Source organism: Homo sapiens, chromosome 10, assembly GCF_000001405.40.
Source record: "Homo sapiens chromosome 10, GRCh38.p14 Primary Assembly".
Taxonomy (NCBI): domain Eukaryota; kingdom Metazoa; phylum Chordata; class Mammalia; order Primates; family Hominidae; genus Homo; species Homo sapiens.
This window is the reverse complement of record NC_000010.11, coordinates 101,460,677-101,481,749: the sequence shown is the minus strand read 5'-3', so window position 1 is coordinate 101,481,749 and position 21,073 is coordinate 101,460,677. Positions and strand designations below refer to the sequence as shown.

The following is a 21,073-nucleotide window of genomic DNA, read 5'->3' as shown; positions in this document are numbered from 1 at the left end:
ATGCAATGAGAAGGTCACCACCTGGGAGCAAGTGAAACACACTGATGAGCAGCAATGAGCAAACTTACTTTCTCACTCAAGATCCAAAAGCATGGAAGAAATTAAATAATTGTGCTAGATGGCAGAAGATTTTTAACCATGTACCAATAAAGCAGAGGGTGGGAGAAAAAAACAATTAAAAAAAAAAAACTCCACATCATATAGACACACACCAACCTATTTAGATTAGAGATCCTGGCTTACAAAGTATGGAGAAAACAAAAGGAACAGATGCTCACTTGGCCAGCTCTCAGTGAAACTCATTAAAATCATCACCCTGTCCTTGGATTGGTGCTCATGCTAAAATTTTACCTTATTTAGCCAGAAGTCACCCACTTGTGATGAAACTAAGAGCAGCATGGCCAAAAACAAAAAAAAGAAAAAAAGAAAGAAAGAATATTTTTAAAGGCCCAAATAACTGTGTATCCCTGTTTCCATGCACAAAAGCAGGATATAAAGTAGACTTGGGCTGGGTGCAGTGGCTCACGCTTGTAATCCCAACTCTTTGGCAGGCCTAGTGGGGAGGATTACTCGAGGCCAGGAGTTCGAGACCAGCCTAGGCAATACAGCGACACCTCATCTCTACAAAACAAAACAACTCTAAAAAACCGAAAACCAAAAATTAGCTGGGTGTGGTGGCATGCACTCATGTTTTCAGCTACTCGGGAGGCTGAGGCAGGAAGATCAGGGCTTGAGCCCTGGAGGTAAAGGCTGCATTGAGCTAGGATTAGTGCCATTGCACTCTACCCTGGGCAACAGAGCAAGACTCTGTCTCTAAAAATAAAATAAAACAAAACAAAATAAAATAGGGTCAATTAGCACTTGTTAGTTGTGACTAAATGACTGAAAAATATGTAATTTATAATTACATTTTATAGCAAAATATTAACATATTTGGATTTGAGACATTTAACTGATGAACTCTACCTTTTTAAACTGTAATTTTAAATAAATTCTGATATTTCTTATATGTATGATTTCGATGGTTATATTTTGTGTGATACATTTCCAGTTGATAGAGCAGGCCCAGAGACTACTGCATGTTTTAAGGAAAAATAAACAAAAACTCTGCTTTTGCTATGGTCTGAACGTTTGTGTTCTCCAAAATTCATGAAGGCAGACCCCTTGTAAGTGGGATTAGTGCCCTTAAAAAAAAGAGACCTCGGATATCTAGCTAGTCTCTTCTATCATGTGAGGATGCAGTGAGAAGGCACCATCTATGAGGCAGAGAGCAAGCCCTCACCAGACACTGAATCTGCTAGTGCTCTCATCTTGGACTTCTCAGCCCCTATAAGAAAAAAATTAGTTTTGTTTATAAGCCACCCAGCTTACAGTATTTTTGTTATAGCAGCTCACATGGACTAAGACAACTGTCATTAGATTTTTGTAGCAAAGATAGCAATGACATGACACCAGTCCTAAGCTCTAATAATAACAGTAAGAAACTGAGGGCCTGGATCTATAATAAAATAGGTTAAACTAAAATAGTTCAAGTTGGGAATGTTGTAACAGTAGCAAATCTATGAATAGATATAAAGGCAATATTTTTGCAGATAATTCAAGTAAAAGAAACAAAGCCCATACTTAATAGTACTTATTCCTAAAATGTCTGACACTTGAATTTTAGTCAAAATTCCTCAGTAATTACAGATATTTGGAAAATGTGAGTTATGATAGATATAAAAAGCATCAGATCTCTAATATTTAAGATTAATTTTACATCTAGGCTATAGAGATGACATATATACATGAAAAAGAGGTAGCCCATACACATGACTAAACATACTTGTCCATGTGGATCAAGATCAACAAAAGCAGTATTTCCAACATTAGCCACTCAATAAATAATAATAGTGATATAATAATTGGGTTGTCTATAGCATATTTCACAGTCCTTGCAATGATGTGATGTACTCTATACGTAACTGTATTTAAAAACCATAAACTTATCAAAACAATTGTACATTATCTTATACAAATCCTACTGATATGTGATAATCTACAACTAGTGTCAAGAAACAAATGTGAATCAGTCTAAAGAGTGACCAGAATTCATAAGCAAAACATTCTGTTGCAATTAAGAGGTGGAGAATCTAACTTGCAATCTGTTCTAGATAAAATGATGCCTGTTTGTATTTTTTTCTTAACTATATAATCCTGTAATAATCCTTAAGCAATACTGAGTAAAGATGCCTACAGATATGGCACTGTTATGGTGTGGTGTAATATACATTGATGAGCAATATTACTTACTTTGGCCACACAATTCTCAGTCTTCATAGCAGTGCTTGCTAAACATACTGTTTCTTGGTTTAAGCAGAGTCTGGCACAGCTGTTGTATGTCTGTAAAGAGAATTTGTTGGAAACAGGTTTTTAAAATATTGAAATACTGCCATATCCTGTTTTCAAATTCTGCTCTATTTCTCAAGTCAAAACACAAATAGATTTTATCTATAAGTTAAGACTTATGGGAACTGAGAGGTAAGTTAGAAAAGGAGGAGGGCAAAGATAGAGGCTACAAAAGCCACTGATGTGCCCATGAACAAGTATGTAAGCAGCAGTGGCTTCACTGTATTAATGATTAATGGAAGCTGGGGGTACTGATTATGTAGCATTTTAAAATGCAAATTGGAAGAGCTTAGTTCTGTTTAAAACAGCAGTTACCGTTCTGAGAAAAGATTTATTTTTGTTGTTTTTCCTTCTAAACTTTCAAAACCATCAAGATCTGAAGGTAGTTAGAGGGCATGTTTCTTTTTTTTTTTTTTTTTTCCCCAGATGGAGTCTTGCTCTGTCACCCAGGCTGGGGTGCAGTGGCGTGATCTCGGCTCACTGCAACCTCCGCCTCCGGGGTTCAAGCGATTCTCCTGCCTCAGCCTCCCACAGAGGACATGTTTCTTTCTCTTTTTTTCTTTTCTTTTTTTTTTTTTTTGAGATAGGGTCTTACTCTGTCACCCCAGCTGGAAGTACAGTGGTGAGATCTTGGCTCTCTGCAATCTATGCCTCTGGGACTCAAGTGATCCTCCAGAGTAGGTGGGGGACTACAGGGGCACGCTACCACGCCCAGCTAATTTTTTGTATTTTTTGTAGAGATGGGGTTTTGCCATGTTGCCTAAACTGGTCTTGAACTCCTGAGCTCAAGTGATCCTCCTGCCTCAGCCTTCTAATGTGCTGGGATTACAGGGACGAGCCATTGTGCTCAGCTGACATGTTTCTTATTCAGAACAATAAATGAAAAAATTTTAAACCATCCAGAAAAAAAAAATTATTTTAAAACTAATCATGAAATATTTTTATAAAAGAATCTCAATACAAGCTTTGACTTTTGGCTTTAAAAAGAAAAGAGAAATAAACCAAAATTGAAAGAACATTGAAAAAAGATAAACCAACACTTACCTATTTTTTTTTTTTTTGAGATGGAGTCTTGCTCTGCTGCCCAGGCTGGAGTGCAGTGGCACAATCTCGGCTCACTACAACCTCCGCCTCCCAGGTTCAAGTGATTCTCCCACCTGAGTCTCCCGAGTAGCTGGGCTTACAGGCGCCTGCCACCATGCCCAGCTAATTTTTTGTATTTTTAGTAGAGATGGGGTTTCATCATGTTGGCCAGGCTGGTCTTGAACTACTGACCTCAGGTGACCCACCCGCCTCGGCCTCCCAAAGTGCTGGGATTACAGGCAAGAGCAGCCTCACTGGGCCTATCTAGACCTTAGAAGTTATCCCTTAAGTACATCTGGTAATGTTGAAGAGATAAAATAGAAAAATCAGGCCAGGTGCGGTGGCTCATACCTGTAATCCTAACACTTTGGGAAGCCGAGGTGGGAAGATCGCCTGAGCTCAGGAGTTTGAGGCCACCCTGGGCAACATGGTGAAACCCTGTCTCTACTAAAATACAAAATATTAGCCAGGCATGGTGGTGGGTGCCTGTAGTTCCAGCTACTCAGGAGGCTGAGGGACGAGAATCGCTTGAGCCCAGGAGATGGAGGTTGTAGTGAGCTGAGATCACGCCACTGCACTCCAGCCTGGGCAACAGAGCAAGACATTGTCTCCAAATAAAAAAGAAAGAAAAAAATCATAGGAAATGGATTTTAAAAACTGGTGATAGCTGGGCACAGTGGCTCATGCCTGTGATCCCAGCACTTTGGGAGGCCGAGGCAGGGGAATCACTTGAGCCTAGGAGTTTGAGATCAGCCTGGGCAGCACAGCGAGGCCCTGTCTCTACCAAAAACAAAACAAAACATTGGTAATACTATAGTTATACTTTATGAAAAGCAAACTTATTAATTACTGGACAATATATTAATAGAAATGTTTCCTTTTAGTCTTAAGTTTTTACTGATGGTATAAATTATGTTTATCAAACTTTAGTGCGCATCAGAATCATCTGGAAGGAGGGCTTGTTAAAACACAGATCACGGTGGGGCCTGGTGGCTAACACCTGTAATCCCAGCACTTTGGGGGGCGAAGGCAGGAGGATCACTTGAGATCAGAAGTTTGAGACCAGCCTGACCAACATGGTGAAACCCCGTCTCTACTAAAAATACAAAAAAAGAAAATAAAAAAATAAAAAAATTTAGCCAGGCGTGGTGGTGCATGCCTGTAATCCCAGCTACTCGGGAGGCTGAGGCAGAAGAATCGCTTGAACCCGGGAGGCAGAGGCTGCAGTAAGCCTAGATCGTGCCACGGCACTCCAGCGTGGGTGACAGAGCAAGACTCTGTCTCAAAACAAAACAAACACAGATTGCTAGGTTTCCATCCCCAGAGCTTCTGAACATTTGCATTTTTAACAAGGCCCCAGTTGACGTTAGTGCTGCTGATCCAGGAACACTCTTCGAGAACCATTGCTATAAATACTTGTGTTGGATTTAAGAAGAAAAATCTTAAGACACTCAAAACCAACAGTAACAAAGAATTCAATTTTTTAACATTTTGAGATAATTTTAGATTTATAGAACAAGTACAAAAATAGTAAAGTTCAAGCACAGTGGCTCATGCCTATAATCCCAGCACTTTGGGAGGTAGAGGCAGGAGGGCTACTTGAAACCGGGAGTTCCATACAAGCCCACATTTCTATTTAAAAAAAAAAAAAAATTAACTGGGCGTGGCAGCACAGGCCTGTAGTCCTGGCTACTCAGGAGGACTGACTGAGCCCTGGAGTTGAAGACTGCAGGGAGCTATGATTATGCCATTGCACTCCAGCCTGGGCAACAAATCAAGACATCATCTCTTTAAAAAAAGAAAGAAAGAAAAAGTAAAGATTTCCTATATACTTGTCACCCAGCTTCTCCATATGTTAATATCTTACATAATTACAGAACATTTATCGAAACTAAGAAATTAACTTGGTACTATATAAAGTACAGAACTTACTCAGGTTTCACCAGTTTTTCCACTAATGTCCTTTTTCTGTTCAGCATCTAATCTAGGATCCCACATGGCATTTATTTGTCATGTCTCTTAGGGCTCCTCTTATTTTCAACAATCCCTCAGTCTTTCCTTGTCTTTCATGACTGACACTGCTAAACAGCACTGATCAGTTAATCTACAGACTGTGCCTCAAGTTGGGTTTGTCTGATATTTTCTCATGATCAGATTGAGGTTATTTTGGGGAAAGATACTTTAGAGGTGATGTGCCCCTCTCACTGCATCAAATCAGAAGGTATGCTGGTATTTCTGGTGATGTTAGCCTTGATTATACAGCTAAGGACATGTCTGCCAAGATTCTCCAGTATAAACATTATTTTCCCCTTAGGAATTACTGAATATATATATATATATATATATATATATATATGGCAAAATACTTGGAGACTATGCAAATATTCTGTTTCTACTTGCATCTCAGCTTGCTAATTTTAGCATCCATTGGGTGCTAATCATGCCTATGGTAATTTTTACTGTGTATTCTAATAGTGAATTTATTATTTTTGTCTTTCCTTCCACATTAACTGGAATTCTTCTGTAAGGAAAAGATGTGATTTCACCCCTCATTTATTTATTTACTCATTTGTTTATATCAGCATGAAGAGATATTTTAAAGAATCTGATTTTGGTCAACTATCATTCTTTGGAAAGAAAATAGATAAAATTTAAGAAAAAATGGGGAAAATAGTAGAGATATATAACTCCCCATCGATATTATAAAGTCAGTTCTGTTTTTGTTTTTGTTTTTGTTTTGAGACGGAGTCTCACTCTGTCTCCCAGGCTGGAGTACAGTGGTGCAATCTCGGCTCACTGTAACCTGCACCTCCCAGGTTCGAGTGATTCTCCTGCCTCAGCCTACCAAGTAGCTGGGATTACAGACATGTGCCACCACGGCCGGCTAATTTTTGTATTTTTAGTAGAGACAGGGTTTTACCATGTTGGCCAGGCTGGTCTTGAACTCCTGACCTTAATTGATCCACCTGCCTTGGCCTCCCAAAGTGCTGGGATTGCAGGCGTGAGCCACCACGCCCAGCTGTTTTTCTTTTAAACAGGCTAAACCTTAAAAAATTTACCAACTTGTTTTATTCTTATAATTTAAGTAAAAATTATTTCAAAATATATATGAAAAAATAGAGCATTAGAAATTAGTGTACAGATTTAAATATTGGTGCATGTAAATTCTGGGCTCTAGATTTGTTATTTCTTTTGCGTTGTCTAATTCCACAAACATTTACTATTCATACACACACAAACATAAATATTTTTAAAATAAAATTCACTATGTTTTAAAGATAAATTTATGAAGTAATCAGTATTTGCTGAAAAAAATATAACTTGACTCAAAGAGTTCCGCTTCCAGTAATGGCAGAAATGTTTGTATCAGATAAACCCTCTTGCAGATAGGAAAAACATTTTAAAGCTACATAAAGGCACTGGAGATCGACTTAAAAAAGACGGAAAATGGGGAAGGAGTGGCCTGATCTTGAAAGAAGAGAACCACACTGGGTGAGATGTGTGTTTATGTGCTTTTCCCCTGAAGGCACTCACGAGTCCACTTGGTGCAGGGTGACTAGAATTCAATCTGAAAGCCACAGTCTATTGGCTTGAGATATCAAGTGATAAGAGTTCAAAACTGCCATAGTGGCTGGCAATAGAGAACAGAAATCCCAGAAATGAAAGAGAACCACAGGGGAAGGAGGAAGACTAAAAAATTACATATAAATTCCCCTCAAATCTATGGCTAACACCCAAACTACGTACATGAAGGGGAGATTCCAAGGATTTCAATGGAGAGCAACAGCTGGAGGGTTGAAAGGCCTGTGCAGATATTCCAGCTGCTGCTCATGGGGGGAGAAAGAGTTTAGAGTTTGACTTCTATCAAGTTAGAGGGATGTAATAACATCTTAGGCTTTCCATTAAAAATTCAAAGAGACCATGAGTTTAGATTCAAGAGTATGTCTTAGGACTAAGGGCAAAACCAAAATACACCTGACCTTAACAAATACAAAACCAAGCCTCCACAAGGTCATAGTGATCAGCCAGTAATTTAATCAGAGGAAGAAAAAATGAATTCAGAGTTTCTGCAATGTACCATTTATAATGTTGGTTATATGATCAAAAATTACTAAAAATGAGAAAAAGGAGATAAATGGGATCCATTGTCAAGAGAAAAATGAACCAAAAACCAACCCTGAGAAGACCTAGTTGTAGAAATTAGCACATATTATAGCTCTAAAGAAGCTATAATAGATATGTTCAAACTTGAACATAGCAATAAAAGATATGATCACAATGAATAAACAGATGAAAAATTCTACCAGAAAATGAAAAACCAAAAATAAACTAAATAGAAATTCTAGAACTGAAAAGTGCATTATCTGAAATGAAAAATTCAGGCTGCGCATGGTGGCTCATGCCTGTAATCCCAGCACTTTGGGAAGCCGAGGCAGGAGGATAGCTTGAGCTCAGGAGTTCAGGACCAGCCTGGGCAACGTAGTGAGATCCTGTCTCTACAAAAAATAGAAAAAATTGGCCAGGCCCAGTGACTTACACCTAGCACTTTGGAGGCCGAGGCGGGCAGATCACCTGAGGTCAGGAGTTTGAGACCAGCCTAGCAAACATGGTGAAACCCCATCTCTACCAAAAATACAAAAATTAGCTGGGCATGGTGGCAAGTGCCTGTAATCCCAGCTACTTGGGAGGCAGAGGGAGGAGAATCGCTTGAACCCGGGAGACGGAGGTTGCAGTAAGCTGAGATTGCACCACTGTTCTCCAGCCTGGGCAACAGATTGAGATTCTGTCTCAAAAAAAAAAAAAAAAAAAAAAAGAGAAAAAAGAAAAATTAGTTGGGTATAGTGGTGCACACCTGTAGTCCCAGCTACTCAGGAGGCTGGGGTGGGCGGTTGCTTGAGCCCAGAAGGTCAAGGCTGCAGTGAGCCATGTTCATGCCACTGCACTTCAGCCTGAGCAACAGAGTGAGACCCTATCTCAAAAAAATCAAAAAATTTACTGGAGAGGCTTAAAAAGCAGACTGGAAGTGACAGAAGAAAAGGTCAATGAAGACAGATAAACCGAAAAAAAAAAAGATAGATAAACTGAAATCATATAAACTGAAGAACAGAGAGAAAAAAAGGAGATTAAGAAAAGAAAAAAAAAAGATCGGTCTTAGTCACTGTGTGGGACAATTCTGGATTATCTAGAATATATGCGTGGCTGGAGTCCAAGGAAGGGAGAAGAGAACGGTACAGCAAAGAAGTTATAAAAATAGTGATCAAATACTTCCCCAAATTTTGTGAAAACTAGCGGCTTTCTGATTTCAGATCAGCAAACCCCAGTCATGTTAAAAATACAAAGAAAACAACACATATAGGCCCATCACAGTCAGAACTGCTGAAAACGAGTGATAAAGATAAAACCTTGAACGGAGCCAAGGAAAAAGGGGATGTTAGGTATCTAGGAGTAACGATATAAATAATGTCAGGCTTTTCATAAAAAAATGAAGGCTAGGAGACAAGCGAATAATATTTTTATTTCACCGCAACCTCCGTCTCCCGGGTTCAAGCAATTCTCCTGCCTCAGCCTCCCAAGTAGCTGGGACTACAGGTGTGCGCCACCATGCCCAGATAATTTTTGTATTTTTAGTAGAGACAGGGTTTCACCATATTGGCCAGGCTGGTCTCGAACTCCTGACCTCAGGTGATCCACCCAACCTTGGCCTCCCAAAGTGCTGGGATTATAGGCATGAGCCACCACGCCCAGCTGGGAACAATATTTTTAAAGTGCTGAAAGGAAAAAAATCTTAAACCAGGTTTCCTATGTTAGGAAAGGGGTGGGGTGGCTCATGCCTATAATCCCAACATTTTGGGAAGCCAATGCAGGAGGATTGCTTGAGCTCTGGAATTCAAGACCAGCCTGGACAACATAGGGAGAGACCCCATCTCTACCAAAAACAAGAAAGAAAGAAGAGAGAGAAGAGAAGAGAAGAGAAGAGAAGAGAAGAGAAGAGAAGAGAAGAGAGGAAAAGAAAAGAAAAGAAAAAGGAAGGAAGGGGAAGGAAGGAAGGAAGGGAGAAAAATGAAATATGGAAAGAAAGAAATCTAGAACAAACCCTGTGGGGTTGAATTAGAATTGGAGTTATCAATGTGAACTAATGGTTTCAAAGTATATAAATATAGATGTAAAAGAAAAGTCAGTGTTTGAATCTTGGTTTTTAAATACCATTCTGCACTAAAGGGAATCATACATTCATGGAAATATGGTTGACTCCAGGACTGACCAGGGAAACTATAAGATGGAAATACTCAGAACGATGAAGATACGTCAAAGGGGGCATGGAAGCCTGCCGAAAGAGGCTTTCAGTAGCCCAATATGAAACAATCACAGTATTAAAATAAAAGATATTAACATATTATAATCTGTTGAATAAACAGGAAACATTTCTTCAAAAACACAAATTACCAAAATTGACACATGAAACAGAAAATCTGAACAGCTCTATACCTCTAAAAGAAATTCAAATTGCTCTAAAACATCTTGCCACATAAATTTAAATAATAAGTTTAAAAAATCTTTCACAAAGAAAACTACAGGCCCAAGTGGTTTGTGAATTCTATGAAATCTGAAGGAAGAAACACCACCAGGATTATACACAAGTGCTTTTAGAAAACAGAGGAGGATGGGAGGAAGATTTCCCAATTCATTTTATAAGACCAGCATAACTCTGATACCAAAACCTGGCAAACACTTAAAAAAGAAAACTGCAAACCAGTACCTCACATGAAACAGACACAAAAACTCTTAACAAAAATCAAGGTAATTTGTCGTATTAACAGAATAACGGGGGCAAAATCCTATATATCTCAGATGAAAAAAAAAGTAGTTATCTATCTGTCTGTCTATTTTTGGAGATAGTTTCTCTTTCTGTTGCCCAGGCTGGAGTGCAGTGGTGTGATCATAACTCACTGTAGCCTCCAACTCAGTGGGCTCCAGCGATCCTCCCACTTCGGCCTCCCAAAGTGTTGGGATTACAGGAGGGAGCCACCACACCCAGCCCCTCACAGACTGCTTTTTAATAGAAAGTGCAAGGTTGATTCTAAAATTTATATAGAAATGTGAACTATCTGGAATAACAAAAAATAAAACAACAAATCTAGAGAACTCACACTACCTGATTTCATGGCCCATTATATAAAATGACAATAATCAAGACACTATGGTATTTGGTGCAAGGATAGACACCTATCATTTTTCTTGTCCGCCTTGTCTACAGGGACATAAAATAGGGATGGGTCAGTACCTTAGGCACTGTCACCCACTGCTCTGGGTCCAGCAGCAACGTTTTCTTCAGGAGGTTTGAGAATATAACTCTTATATAACTAAATGGTTTGGACAAATGAATTCATGTAATTCAATGGGGGAAAAGAAAGTCTTTTCAACAATGGTGCTGAAACAACTGAATGAAATTACGGCAAAAATAATGAAGCCCAAACTCTACTTCATGGCACGTATAAGAATTAATTTGAGATGGATCATAGAATTAAGTATAAATAGTAAACTTATAAAGCTCCCAGAAGAAAACTTAGAAGAATATCTTCACAATCATGGGGTAGACAAAGATTTCTTAGGTAGGACCAAAGGAAGTATCCCTTCTAAAAGAAAAAACCGGCTAGGCGCGGTGGCTCGCGCCTGTAATCCCAGCACTTTGGGAGGCTGAGGCGGTCGGATCACCTGAGGTCTGGAGTTCGAGACCAGCCTAGCCAACATGGTGAAACCCCGTCTCTACTAAAAATACAAAAATTAGCATGTGGTGGCGCATGCCTGTAATCCCATCTACTCAGGAGGCTGAGGCACAAGAATTGCTTGAACCTGGGAGGCAGAGGTTGCAGTGAGCCGAGATTGTGTCACTGCACTCCAGCCTGGGCGACACAGCGAGACTCCGTCTCAAAAAAAAAAAAAAAAAAAAAGAAAGAAAAATTGGTAAACTGGATTTCATCCAACTATTAGAAACTTCTCATCAAAACATACCATAAACAGGCAAACCATAGACTGTGAGATATAATCAGAGTACATATATCTGACAAATGAATGGTATCCAGAATTCAATACAGTTGAGTCTACAACTCAATAATAAAAAGGCAAACAATGCAATTTTTAAAAATGGCTAAAAACTTAAAAGATACTTCACAAAGAAAATGTCTGAATAACCAATAAGCACATGAAAAAGTACTTAACATATGCTCACCAAAAACCTTTATAGAAGAACGTTCATAGTAACTTCACTTATAATGATGGAAATGGCTCAGATATCCACCAAAAGGAGACAGAAAACAAACTGCGATATATTTATTCAACTCAATGAAAGAGAATAAACTACTGATATACACAGCAACATAGAGGAATCTCACAAACATTATGCAAAGTGAATGTCAGACCCCAAAAATATAGCATTCCATTACACAAAATTCTAGAAAAGGCAAAATTACAGTGACAGTAAGCTGATCAGTATTTGATCCATTGGTGGTGCAGAAAATAAGTAGAAAGGAGAACAAGAGACATTCCTAGGTTATGAAAATATTCTATAGTTTAATTAGGGTGGTGGTTACACAGGTGGTTAGATTTATCAAAAATTCAGACTTATACAATTAATATCTGTAAAATTCACTGTATGAAAACTTCCAATAGAAGTATCTTAGGAGTAAATTTTTTACAGAGGTTTGTCCAGTCATCAATAAATGTATCATGCTATTTTTCTGAAAATACTAAGTTATAAAAAGAAAATTTATTTTCCTTCAAAATTACCCTCTTTTCCCTTCATGAATGAATATGTAATAACATATTTAGGGGACCATTAGATAGATTCAGAAACTCTGTGCCAGGCCTGAGGGAGTTTCCAGAGTAGGGCTATATATAGGACTTTATTTTCTAGACATTCCATCTGTAAAATGGGTAAATGACTTTGCTGATCTCCCAAGGAAGTAACACAGATCAATAAACTAAAATTTGTCATAGTTCCTTTACCACTCTGCAATTAAAAGGCTAAAACATTCAATATTTTCCATTCAATATTTTCCTGTAAGACTCTCTCCAGTTTGAAATCCAACTAGTGAATATAATAGCCACAGGCAAGATAGGTTCTGTCCCCATGCAACACTTGAAAAGGTAGCTTCATTGCTGAACCAGAGGCAGAGAGTTTTGCGTTGGAGTACTTTAATACGTTTTTATATCGCATATAAAGCACATAAGCATAAACTAGTAAGATGCCTTGCTGAAAACTACCTTCTTTGTGAAAGCAGGCTGTAATTCTGAACAAGTTTTCAATTTTCACACTGCTGCTAGGGTAAAACATTTTAAAGAGTTTAATTTTTTACAATGGATTCAATGACATAGGATTATCTAACAAAGTAATGGCTAATCAATAGAAGGTTTAGTTGTCAGGTGAAACATATAACACACTAAAAGGGATTGATTGCCAGACTTGCCCTTATTTACTAGAAGGTATATATTTAAAATTACACAAACTTGTTACTGGGCTGCATTGTTTTAACCTTGCAAAAAGCTGCTTAGAAATCTGTTCAGCAGCCCTATAGCATAACAAGATATAGTATAATGAAAATCGTTAGTGACTGGGAGTGGGGGTATAGGAAGACAGGGACTTCCAGATACATGGTAACATCAAATCATGTCCCACACAAGAATATGGTATAGAAAAAGCAAACCAAAAAGCAATATCTAAGGAAGCTGGAAGTGGGTTTTAAAAATGCCACACAGATGCTACTGAATCTTGTTCAATAGATGCAAAGCTGCATCTGCTATCATTCCGTGTTGTTTTTAGGGCAGATTTTTTTTTTAGGGCTCATGCAGATGAGCACAACAGGCTTCCTCCCACCCCACCCCCCGCCTTTTTTAATGGTACATCCAGAGTAAGCACTGAAAACAAAATGAATTGGGCCCATATGGACTTTGACCAGCATATAAACTGTTTCCTTTATAATTTATTCCCAGTATCACAACTCTCTATATGAAAATACACTCTTTATGGTCATTGCAACCCAGGAGTTCAATAATATTTTTCCTACTAAGTCAGTGATTACACAATTTATCAAAGAATGATTACATTAAAATACAAATAAAACAAAGCACCAACCCCCCATACGGTCTTCCTTCCTCAAAGTAATTTTAAGAAAGCCGGTTATTAAATTGCTCCTTTTTGAAGAAGGGTTTTTGTAGCTAGGCACAAATTGCCAAACCGTGTTTTCTTAAAAAAGTTATTAGACTCTAAAGGATTCAACAGAAGTGGGAAGTTATATAAACAAATCACTTCGTCAGATTTGGAAAGATCACTTTTGTCTTACTTAAGAGACCTACATTAATTACCTTTAAGATCTTTTACATGGACTATTTAAAATAAGTACAATTTATTTATTTATTTCAAATGAGGTGCTTCTTCCAAAGTATTAAATAATGTCTACAAATGCAAAGGCATTTTTATAAATAGGTAATTAAAACAGATGACTAAAATTAAGTCAAGCTGCAAAACATTACCCAGAATGCATTGTGATTTTTTTTATTAATAAACATCTCAGGCAATTTTTTTTTTACCCAAAGCCCAAAGCACTTTAGGAGGGCAAAAAGAGGTAGCAAGTTTTATAGAGTAAAAAAAACCAACAACAACCAACCACACATATATAATGAAATAATGCAAACCCCAAACGAAAGTATTTACAAGACAGTCCCTTAAGCATAGTTTGTCATATTGCAATTACACCTTGCCTACTGCCAAGCCAAAGTGCTTACTATTGCCACTAGAGGGAGAAGTGTCTTAACACAAAGCAACGGCAGATAGGGAATGGGTTTTCTCGAGCAATTATCAGAACAAAGCTCCCTTGGCTGTGTGTACCTTCTAATTACTCAATACAATTAAAGTGACTAACCTAAAACAAATAGAGAGAAAAAAAAAAAAAAAACCCTGCCTGCCTGATATCAGGGACTTCATTAAACCTTTTTCCCTCATCAATCAAATCAGAAAGAAGGGAATGCCATCATATATGAACATTACAGAGCTATTAAAGGAAGCAAATTCTGTGTTTTTTTTTTTTTTAAAGGAAGAAAAGGAGCTCTCTTGAAAAAAGAAATGTCTTGGTATTTACCCATCTGGATGCTGCTTGAAAATAAATTGTCCTCCAAAGAACAGAAATACAGTATGTTTTCTCTCAGTTCACTGGCTTATGAATGACTTTTTGTTGTTGTGGTTGTTTTGTTAATACACACTATAATGTCATTTTCTGTGTCAGTGATGTGCTTTTTCCTCCTACTCATCCAACTGTATAAAGGAGCTATGCCCATCAGACTTCCATGCTTATACTGGCTGATTTAAGTTCTTCACTGCTGTTTTTTGTGGATCTACTCCAAGGCAATGTTTAGAACGCAGGAATTTTTTCAGGGGAGGGGAATATGGTAGAAAAGGAAAACAGCTACTTATTCCTTCTAAAAGACTTATGTAGTTCCTTTTATAAGGCCCAGTCATTAACAGAAGATGACAACACAGTCATTTTTCTTTCAGCTGACAATTGTGACATTTTTCCAGCAGCGTGCAAGGTGTTGAAAACCTGGCAGCTGTTACCTCCTGGGATGAAGATACTTTTTTATCCTCCCTTGACAGTCTAACTCAGTGGGTCAGCACCTTTAAAGACTGCAAAGTATCCTTGAAGAGGATGGAAGCTTGAATTACTGCTCCCTCCCTAATCAATGTAAACCCTCACTGCAGGTGAAGTCTCCATCTATAGAGGTGCATGGGGGAGGAAAATGTAATGCCCTGAGCCAGATGGTTTTTATCTTGTTTTTAAAGAATAAAGGAACAAGCTAACAAGGGAGACAGCTACTTTGTTAGCTTCTTGGCCTCTCTCATGGCTTTGCATCCCCAGGGTTCCAGCTACACAAGAGAAAGAATACAGAAAAACCTAAACACTTAAAGAAATATAACTAGAGGGCTGGCATCATGCTGCTTTCAGAGAGTTGAGAGAGCTCTACTCAATGCTTTATTTATCACTGCCCACGTTCTCAGGATGGTAAGTGGACACATACACAAAGGAAATGGGGGATGGGAGAGGGATTAGACAACGGTCACAATTTACTCAATTACAGAGAAAGGCAGGGCTGACAGATCCTATTAGCACCAATGAGAAGCAAAGAGTTGAACGTTGTAATGCCACAATTTTCAAAAAGTAATGAGTACTTTCATGTATCCTCCCAGGCCTTTGCCCTTGATTGCAGATAGGAATAAAAGGTAGGAAAACAGTGGCTATCCTTTCCTTGACTTCACATTTTTAGGAGTAAAACAAAAATTGTAGCTATTTTGTACATCCTTTAAATAAAAGTTCATATTTAATGCCAAGAAATGAGATTATTCTGAAACTAAGAAAATTAACTTTCTTTACAAGGATACACTGCTCTACTTCCTCTCCCTACCCCAAACTCTTCCATCTTCAGATGCTGGAAATGAAACGAAAAAGCAGGTATACAAAATGACTTGGTGACAGACACAGGGAACAGTGTCTCTTAATTTCCACCTTCATTATTTCTTGTTCTGGTAATATCTTTGTCGGGTTTTGGAATTACTGTTATGGTGGATTTTTAAGTCAAGGAGTGTTCTTTCCTTCTCTATTCTGTGAAAGGGTCTGGCATAAAATTCGTATCATTTCTTCCTTAAATATTTGTTGAATTCACCAGTAAAACCACATGTCCCTTCTGATGATTAATTAAATTTATTTAATAGACATCAGGCTATTCAAATTTTGCTTCACCCTGTGTTAAGAGTTTTGGTAAGTTGTATTTTTCAAGGAATTTGTTCAACTTGCCAAATTTTTGGTATAAAGTTGTTTGCTCCTCCAATATTTAAATAGCTCTCCAAATTAACATGCAGTAGTTATGTCCTATCAACAATGGCAAAACGCTATTTTTGAATAATATATGTCAACTATAATATTAGTTAAAAACAATGTTAAATTGCTAGAAGATAACTGAACTTTTTATAATCAATAGTGAGTTTCTGAAATCCCATTAGAAATATCTGCAAAAGAATCTCAAGTTAATGAGATGCAAATCCTACTTGTATCAATACTAGGTATAAGGCGGCCTTGACATCTTTTTGTCTACAGAAGTTGACTACAGGAAAAACAAAACAAAACAAAAACAAAAAAACAAAATAGCAAATGGCACTTCATTATTGTCATATGCAATAGAGAAAAGAGGGAGTTTAAACAGCTTATATACTATGTCCTACCTTAAAAAAAATCAGCAATGGGGTAATCAAGTTCAGGGCAGTCCTGGACAGCTGCCCTGTGACCCGCTTCTATTGACCCCTGCTATTCATCACTCTTCCCTAAGATAGAGAGGGCAAGCTCCTAGGGAGTGACCACCACAATAGACAGACACAAGCCAACAGTAATCTGGTTCGAGCAAAAAACCAGATGGCACTGCAATAAATTTACAAATCTGCATTCATGGGGCTGCTAAAACACCCAGAAGCTAAAAGACTCTGAGGGCCCCAGGAGGATCTCCTACTTCCCTGTTTCTAAAGGCCATTTCTCTTTCCAAGAACATTGAGTTCATGCTCTTCACAAAGAGAATGGAGATAAAACCCTTTACAAAGAAGGGAGGAGAAAAAGCCTCATGACCTAATTAATCTCCAGAGCTTGGATCTCAACACTGAATGACAGATATTAGAAAAATCATTTCAAAGCACCATGGGGGGGGTGGGGGGGAAGGTTGTTAAATTAAAGTGGGCAGGGGGAGTGGGGAAGAGAACCTGCTAAAACGGCAATGAAAAAAACAACATTAAATCTCTTTCGAATATTGCACACAACAGATCTTGCAAGTAGAAAATGATTCAATAATGTATGCATTTATTTTTAAAATGAATCAGATTAGTCCCATGTGTGACCTGCTGGTCCATCTGTATGTGCTGGACTTAATAGGCATGATTCTCTCTCTTGCTTCAGTTTGAAGTATGAGAGAGATAAATTTAGTTTAATTTTCAACAGATCAGCCTATCCATTTTCCAAATGGACCATCTGGATCAGCCTATTAAAATTAATTTATAACTTTGCAGAGAGAAAATTCGTTTGTTAGCTTAAATAAAGTTGCCAAAACTTTTGTTGTGTCATTGTTTTCCGACAGTTGTTTCTGTATAGTGGGCAGAGTGTTCCTACTTCCCAATTTATCTTATTCAGTATTGTCCTATTGGTTTAGATGAACAGATCAGGTGTTGATTCTCCAAACAGTTAAAATTGTAACTGTCTCAACATCAATTACTGATCATTTGTGGATTTTTGTTTGTTTTTTTTTTTAAAGCTTCCTGGATGATTCAATTCTATTTACTAAACAATTATTTTTATAAAAAAAAGAAGTGTTCATCCAAAAAACATTTAACATATAGTAAATTAAAAAATGAATGTGTCACAGTTTCAAGTACTTTCCCTCTAAACACTATATATAAACTGAAGTCAGAAGGCACAAGTAGAAACGCTTTGGAAACACTGAGATCTGAGTATCAAATCACTAATTAGCTAGACAAGTCATCTAACCTCTCTAACCCTCCATTTTCTTCATCTATAAATTGGAAGTCACATCATATCTAAAAACTTTACAGGGTTATTGTGAGGGTTAAATCAAATAAGCATCATGTTCACGGTGGGTGCTCAACAAATATTAGATCTCCTATTTCCTAGAACAATGCTATAAATCCAAGTAAATTAGAATTATTTTTACTGCTGCTCAGGCTCATTGTATCCAATTTTATATTAAAAATGAATACAGGGCCAGGTGTGGTGGCTCATGTCTGTAATCCCAGCACTTTGGGAGGCCAAGCTGGGCAGATCACCTGAGGTCAGGGGTCTGAGAACAGCCTGGCCAACATGGTGAAACCCTGTCTCTACTAAAAATACAAAAATTAGGTCGGGAACAGTGGCTCATGCCTGTAATCCCAGCACTTTGGGAGGCTTAGGTGGGCAGATCACAAGGTCAAGAGTTTGCGACCAGCCTGGCCAACATGGTGAAACCCCGTTTCTACTAAAAATACAAAAATTAGCCCGGTGTGGTAGTGGGCACCTGTAGTCCCAGTTACGCAGGAGGCTGAGGCAGAAGAGTCGCTTGAACCCTGGAGGTGGAGGTTGTGGTGAGCCAAGATCACACCACTGCACTCCAGCCTGGGCGATAGAGCAAGACTGTGTCTCAAAAAAAAAAAAACCCCAAAATACAAAAATTAGCCAGGCATGGTGGCAGGCACCTGTAATTCCAGCTACTCAGGAGGCTGAGGCAGGAGAATCGCTTGAACCCAGAAGGCAGAGGTTGCAGTGAGCCGAGATCACGCCACTGCACTCCAGCCTGGGCGACAGAGTGAGGCTTTGTCTCAAAAATAAAAATAAAATAAAATAATAAAAATAAAAATGAATAGGTGGCACACTTATTCTCTGGCAACATCATAAGAACTTGCGTTTCTTGTTTTTGCCAAGGACATTCTAATTTTTACAAGAACACAATGGTATTGAACTTTCACAAGTAAAATGTGTTACCTTCTATTGGGGCACAGTGGTGAGCTATTTTTTTTTTTTTTTTTTGAGACGGAGTTTTGCTCTTGTTGCCCAGGCTGGAGTGCAATGGCGCAATCTCAGCTCACCGCAACCTCTGCCTCTGGGGTTCAAGTGATTCTCCTGCCTCAGCCTCCTGAGTAGCTGGGATTACAGGCATGCGCCAGCATGCCCAGCAAATTTTTGTATTTTTAGTAGAGACTGGGTTTCTCCATGTTGGTCAGGCTGGTCTCGAACTCCCGACTTCAGGTATTCGCCTGCCTCAGCCTCCCAAAGTGGTGGGATTATAGGCGTTAGCCACCTTGCCCGGCTGCTGTTTTTTTAAGTTATTATTAACAATGGCCTTTTCTTCTAGAAAAAGCAAACAAAATATTGCTCATACTAAAAGGGCTAACTTTATTACAGGCAGATCTGTTTTTATACTTTTTTAAAAATGCCAACCAGCTGTCCTGTACATGTATACCTAGAATGTTTTTTAAATAACTGGGAAAACCATGTCACCTGATTGAAAGTGATGGCTATGGCCAGGCCAACGTCCGAGTACTCTTAATATAAGCTCCAGTGCTTAAAGAATGGCAAATCAAGGGTTTCCTCCTGTCTTTTGTTTTGCTGTTGGTAGCTTTTTATTTTAAGTAAGGCTGAATTTCATACCTGTCTAAGTGAATTCTTCTCTGGTATTATCTTCCTAGGGGGTTCGCCATTATTACAGTCTTCTCTCTCTGAGGAATTCTGTGAAAGAAAGTAAGCTTTAATTCAGTTCTCATTATCTTCAATCTTATCCTTTGGGAGTAAACTGAATTACATTTCTAATTCTGTAAGTTAGAACATACATATATTTATACAATTATTCACTTGAAGATTTGTATACATACAGATATACACATATGTAAAAGAAAACATATGCCCATGTATATAAATAAATTATGTAAGGATTTAGATGGGAAGTATTTCATGTATCTTTAAGCATTGTGTAGGAGATCATATTCATTAGATCTCTAGCTTGCACTTTGACACAGGTTGACACTGGATACAAGAAAGTTCCAGCCCACACTTAGCTGATGACAACTAAAACCATGATTATTACCTTCTCTCGATTATAGTAGATGTTTGGTTGGCACAGATCTCCAAGTCTGGGTCCTAAAAATAGTTATTTCTCTTCCCCCTCTTCTCAGATTTGATTTTATTTTCTTTGATAAAAGTAGCATAGGACTTAAAAAAACATTTACTCAGTAGTTTAGGATTAGAGTCCATTCCTTGGCACTGTCACCTCAAACAGCAGCTAGAGGCCCTAAAATGTCAGTGGGGTTTTTATATACTTAGGAGGGGGAAAAAAACAACAATCCAACTGAAAATGAGTTCATAAGTACTAAAAATCTGCTAGTCAATATATGTAAATCACTATCTACAAGGCAAAATACAGAAAATCCAAATTACATATTATTTGAGTTCCATTTTCAGCAACAACATTAGTAACATTAATAACATTAATATTTAAAACCCTGCAGTTGTGCTAGGTGCGGTGGCTCACACTTGTAATCCCAGCACTTTGGGAGGCCAAGGCGGGCAGATCATCTGAGGTCAGGAGTTTGAGACCAGCCTGGCCAACATGCTGAAACTGTGTCTCTACTAAAAATACAAAATTAGCCAAGTGTGGTGGTGGGTGCCTGTAATCCCAGCTACTCGAGAGTCTGAGGCAGGAGAATCGCCTGAACCCAGGAGGCCGAGGTTGCAGTGAGCCGAGATCACACCACTGCACTCCAGCCTGAGTGACAGAGCAAGGTTCCGTCTCAAAACAACAACAACAAAAAACTTACAGTTAATATATTCCTTACATTACATATAGTCATAACGTTCTAACAGGAGGGTTAGTTTATTTGTAGGTTCAGAAATTATTTTTAACATGAGAGTTTATCTGAAAATTTTCATACAAGCATGAAATTATTAATATACAATCATTACTGTGTTCTAAACCTACATGTAAATTTCACTTTTTTGGTTTCTATTAGATATTACATTTTGAAAGATACTGAGAG

General features: G+C 38.2%; 1 protein-coding gene across 14 annotated transcripts in view; it reads right to left on the bottom strand.

The window, feature by feature from the left end:
- The window catches only part of BTRC (beta-transducin repeat containing E3 ubiquitin protein ligase), a 203,266-nt gene that overhangs the window by 75,564 nt on the left and 106,629 nt on the right, over positions 1-21,073 (bottom strand). For 9 of the 14 annotated variants that reach the window (XM_047425986.1, XM_006718054.3, NM_033637.4 and 6 more), the window contains 2 exons: positions 19,692-19,769; positions 2,293-2,382 (listed from right to left, as the gene is read on the bottom strand). In XM_047425986.1, the coding sequence (XP_047281942.1) occupies positions 2,293-2,319 (27 nt within the window). In that variant the 5' untranslated portion in view covers positions 2,320-2,382; positions 19,692-19,769. The remainder of the gene's footprint in view (positions 1-2,292; positions 2,383-19,691; positions 19,770-21,073) is intronic. The other 5 variants (XM_017016870.2, NM_001256856.2, XM_017016874.2 and 2 more) reach the window with 1 other exon arrangement.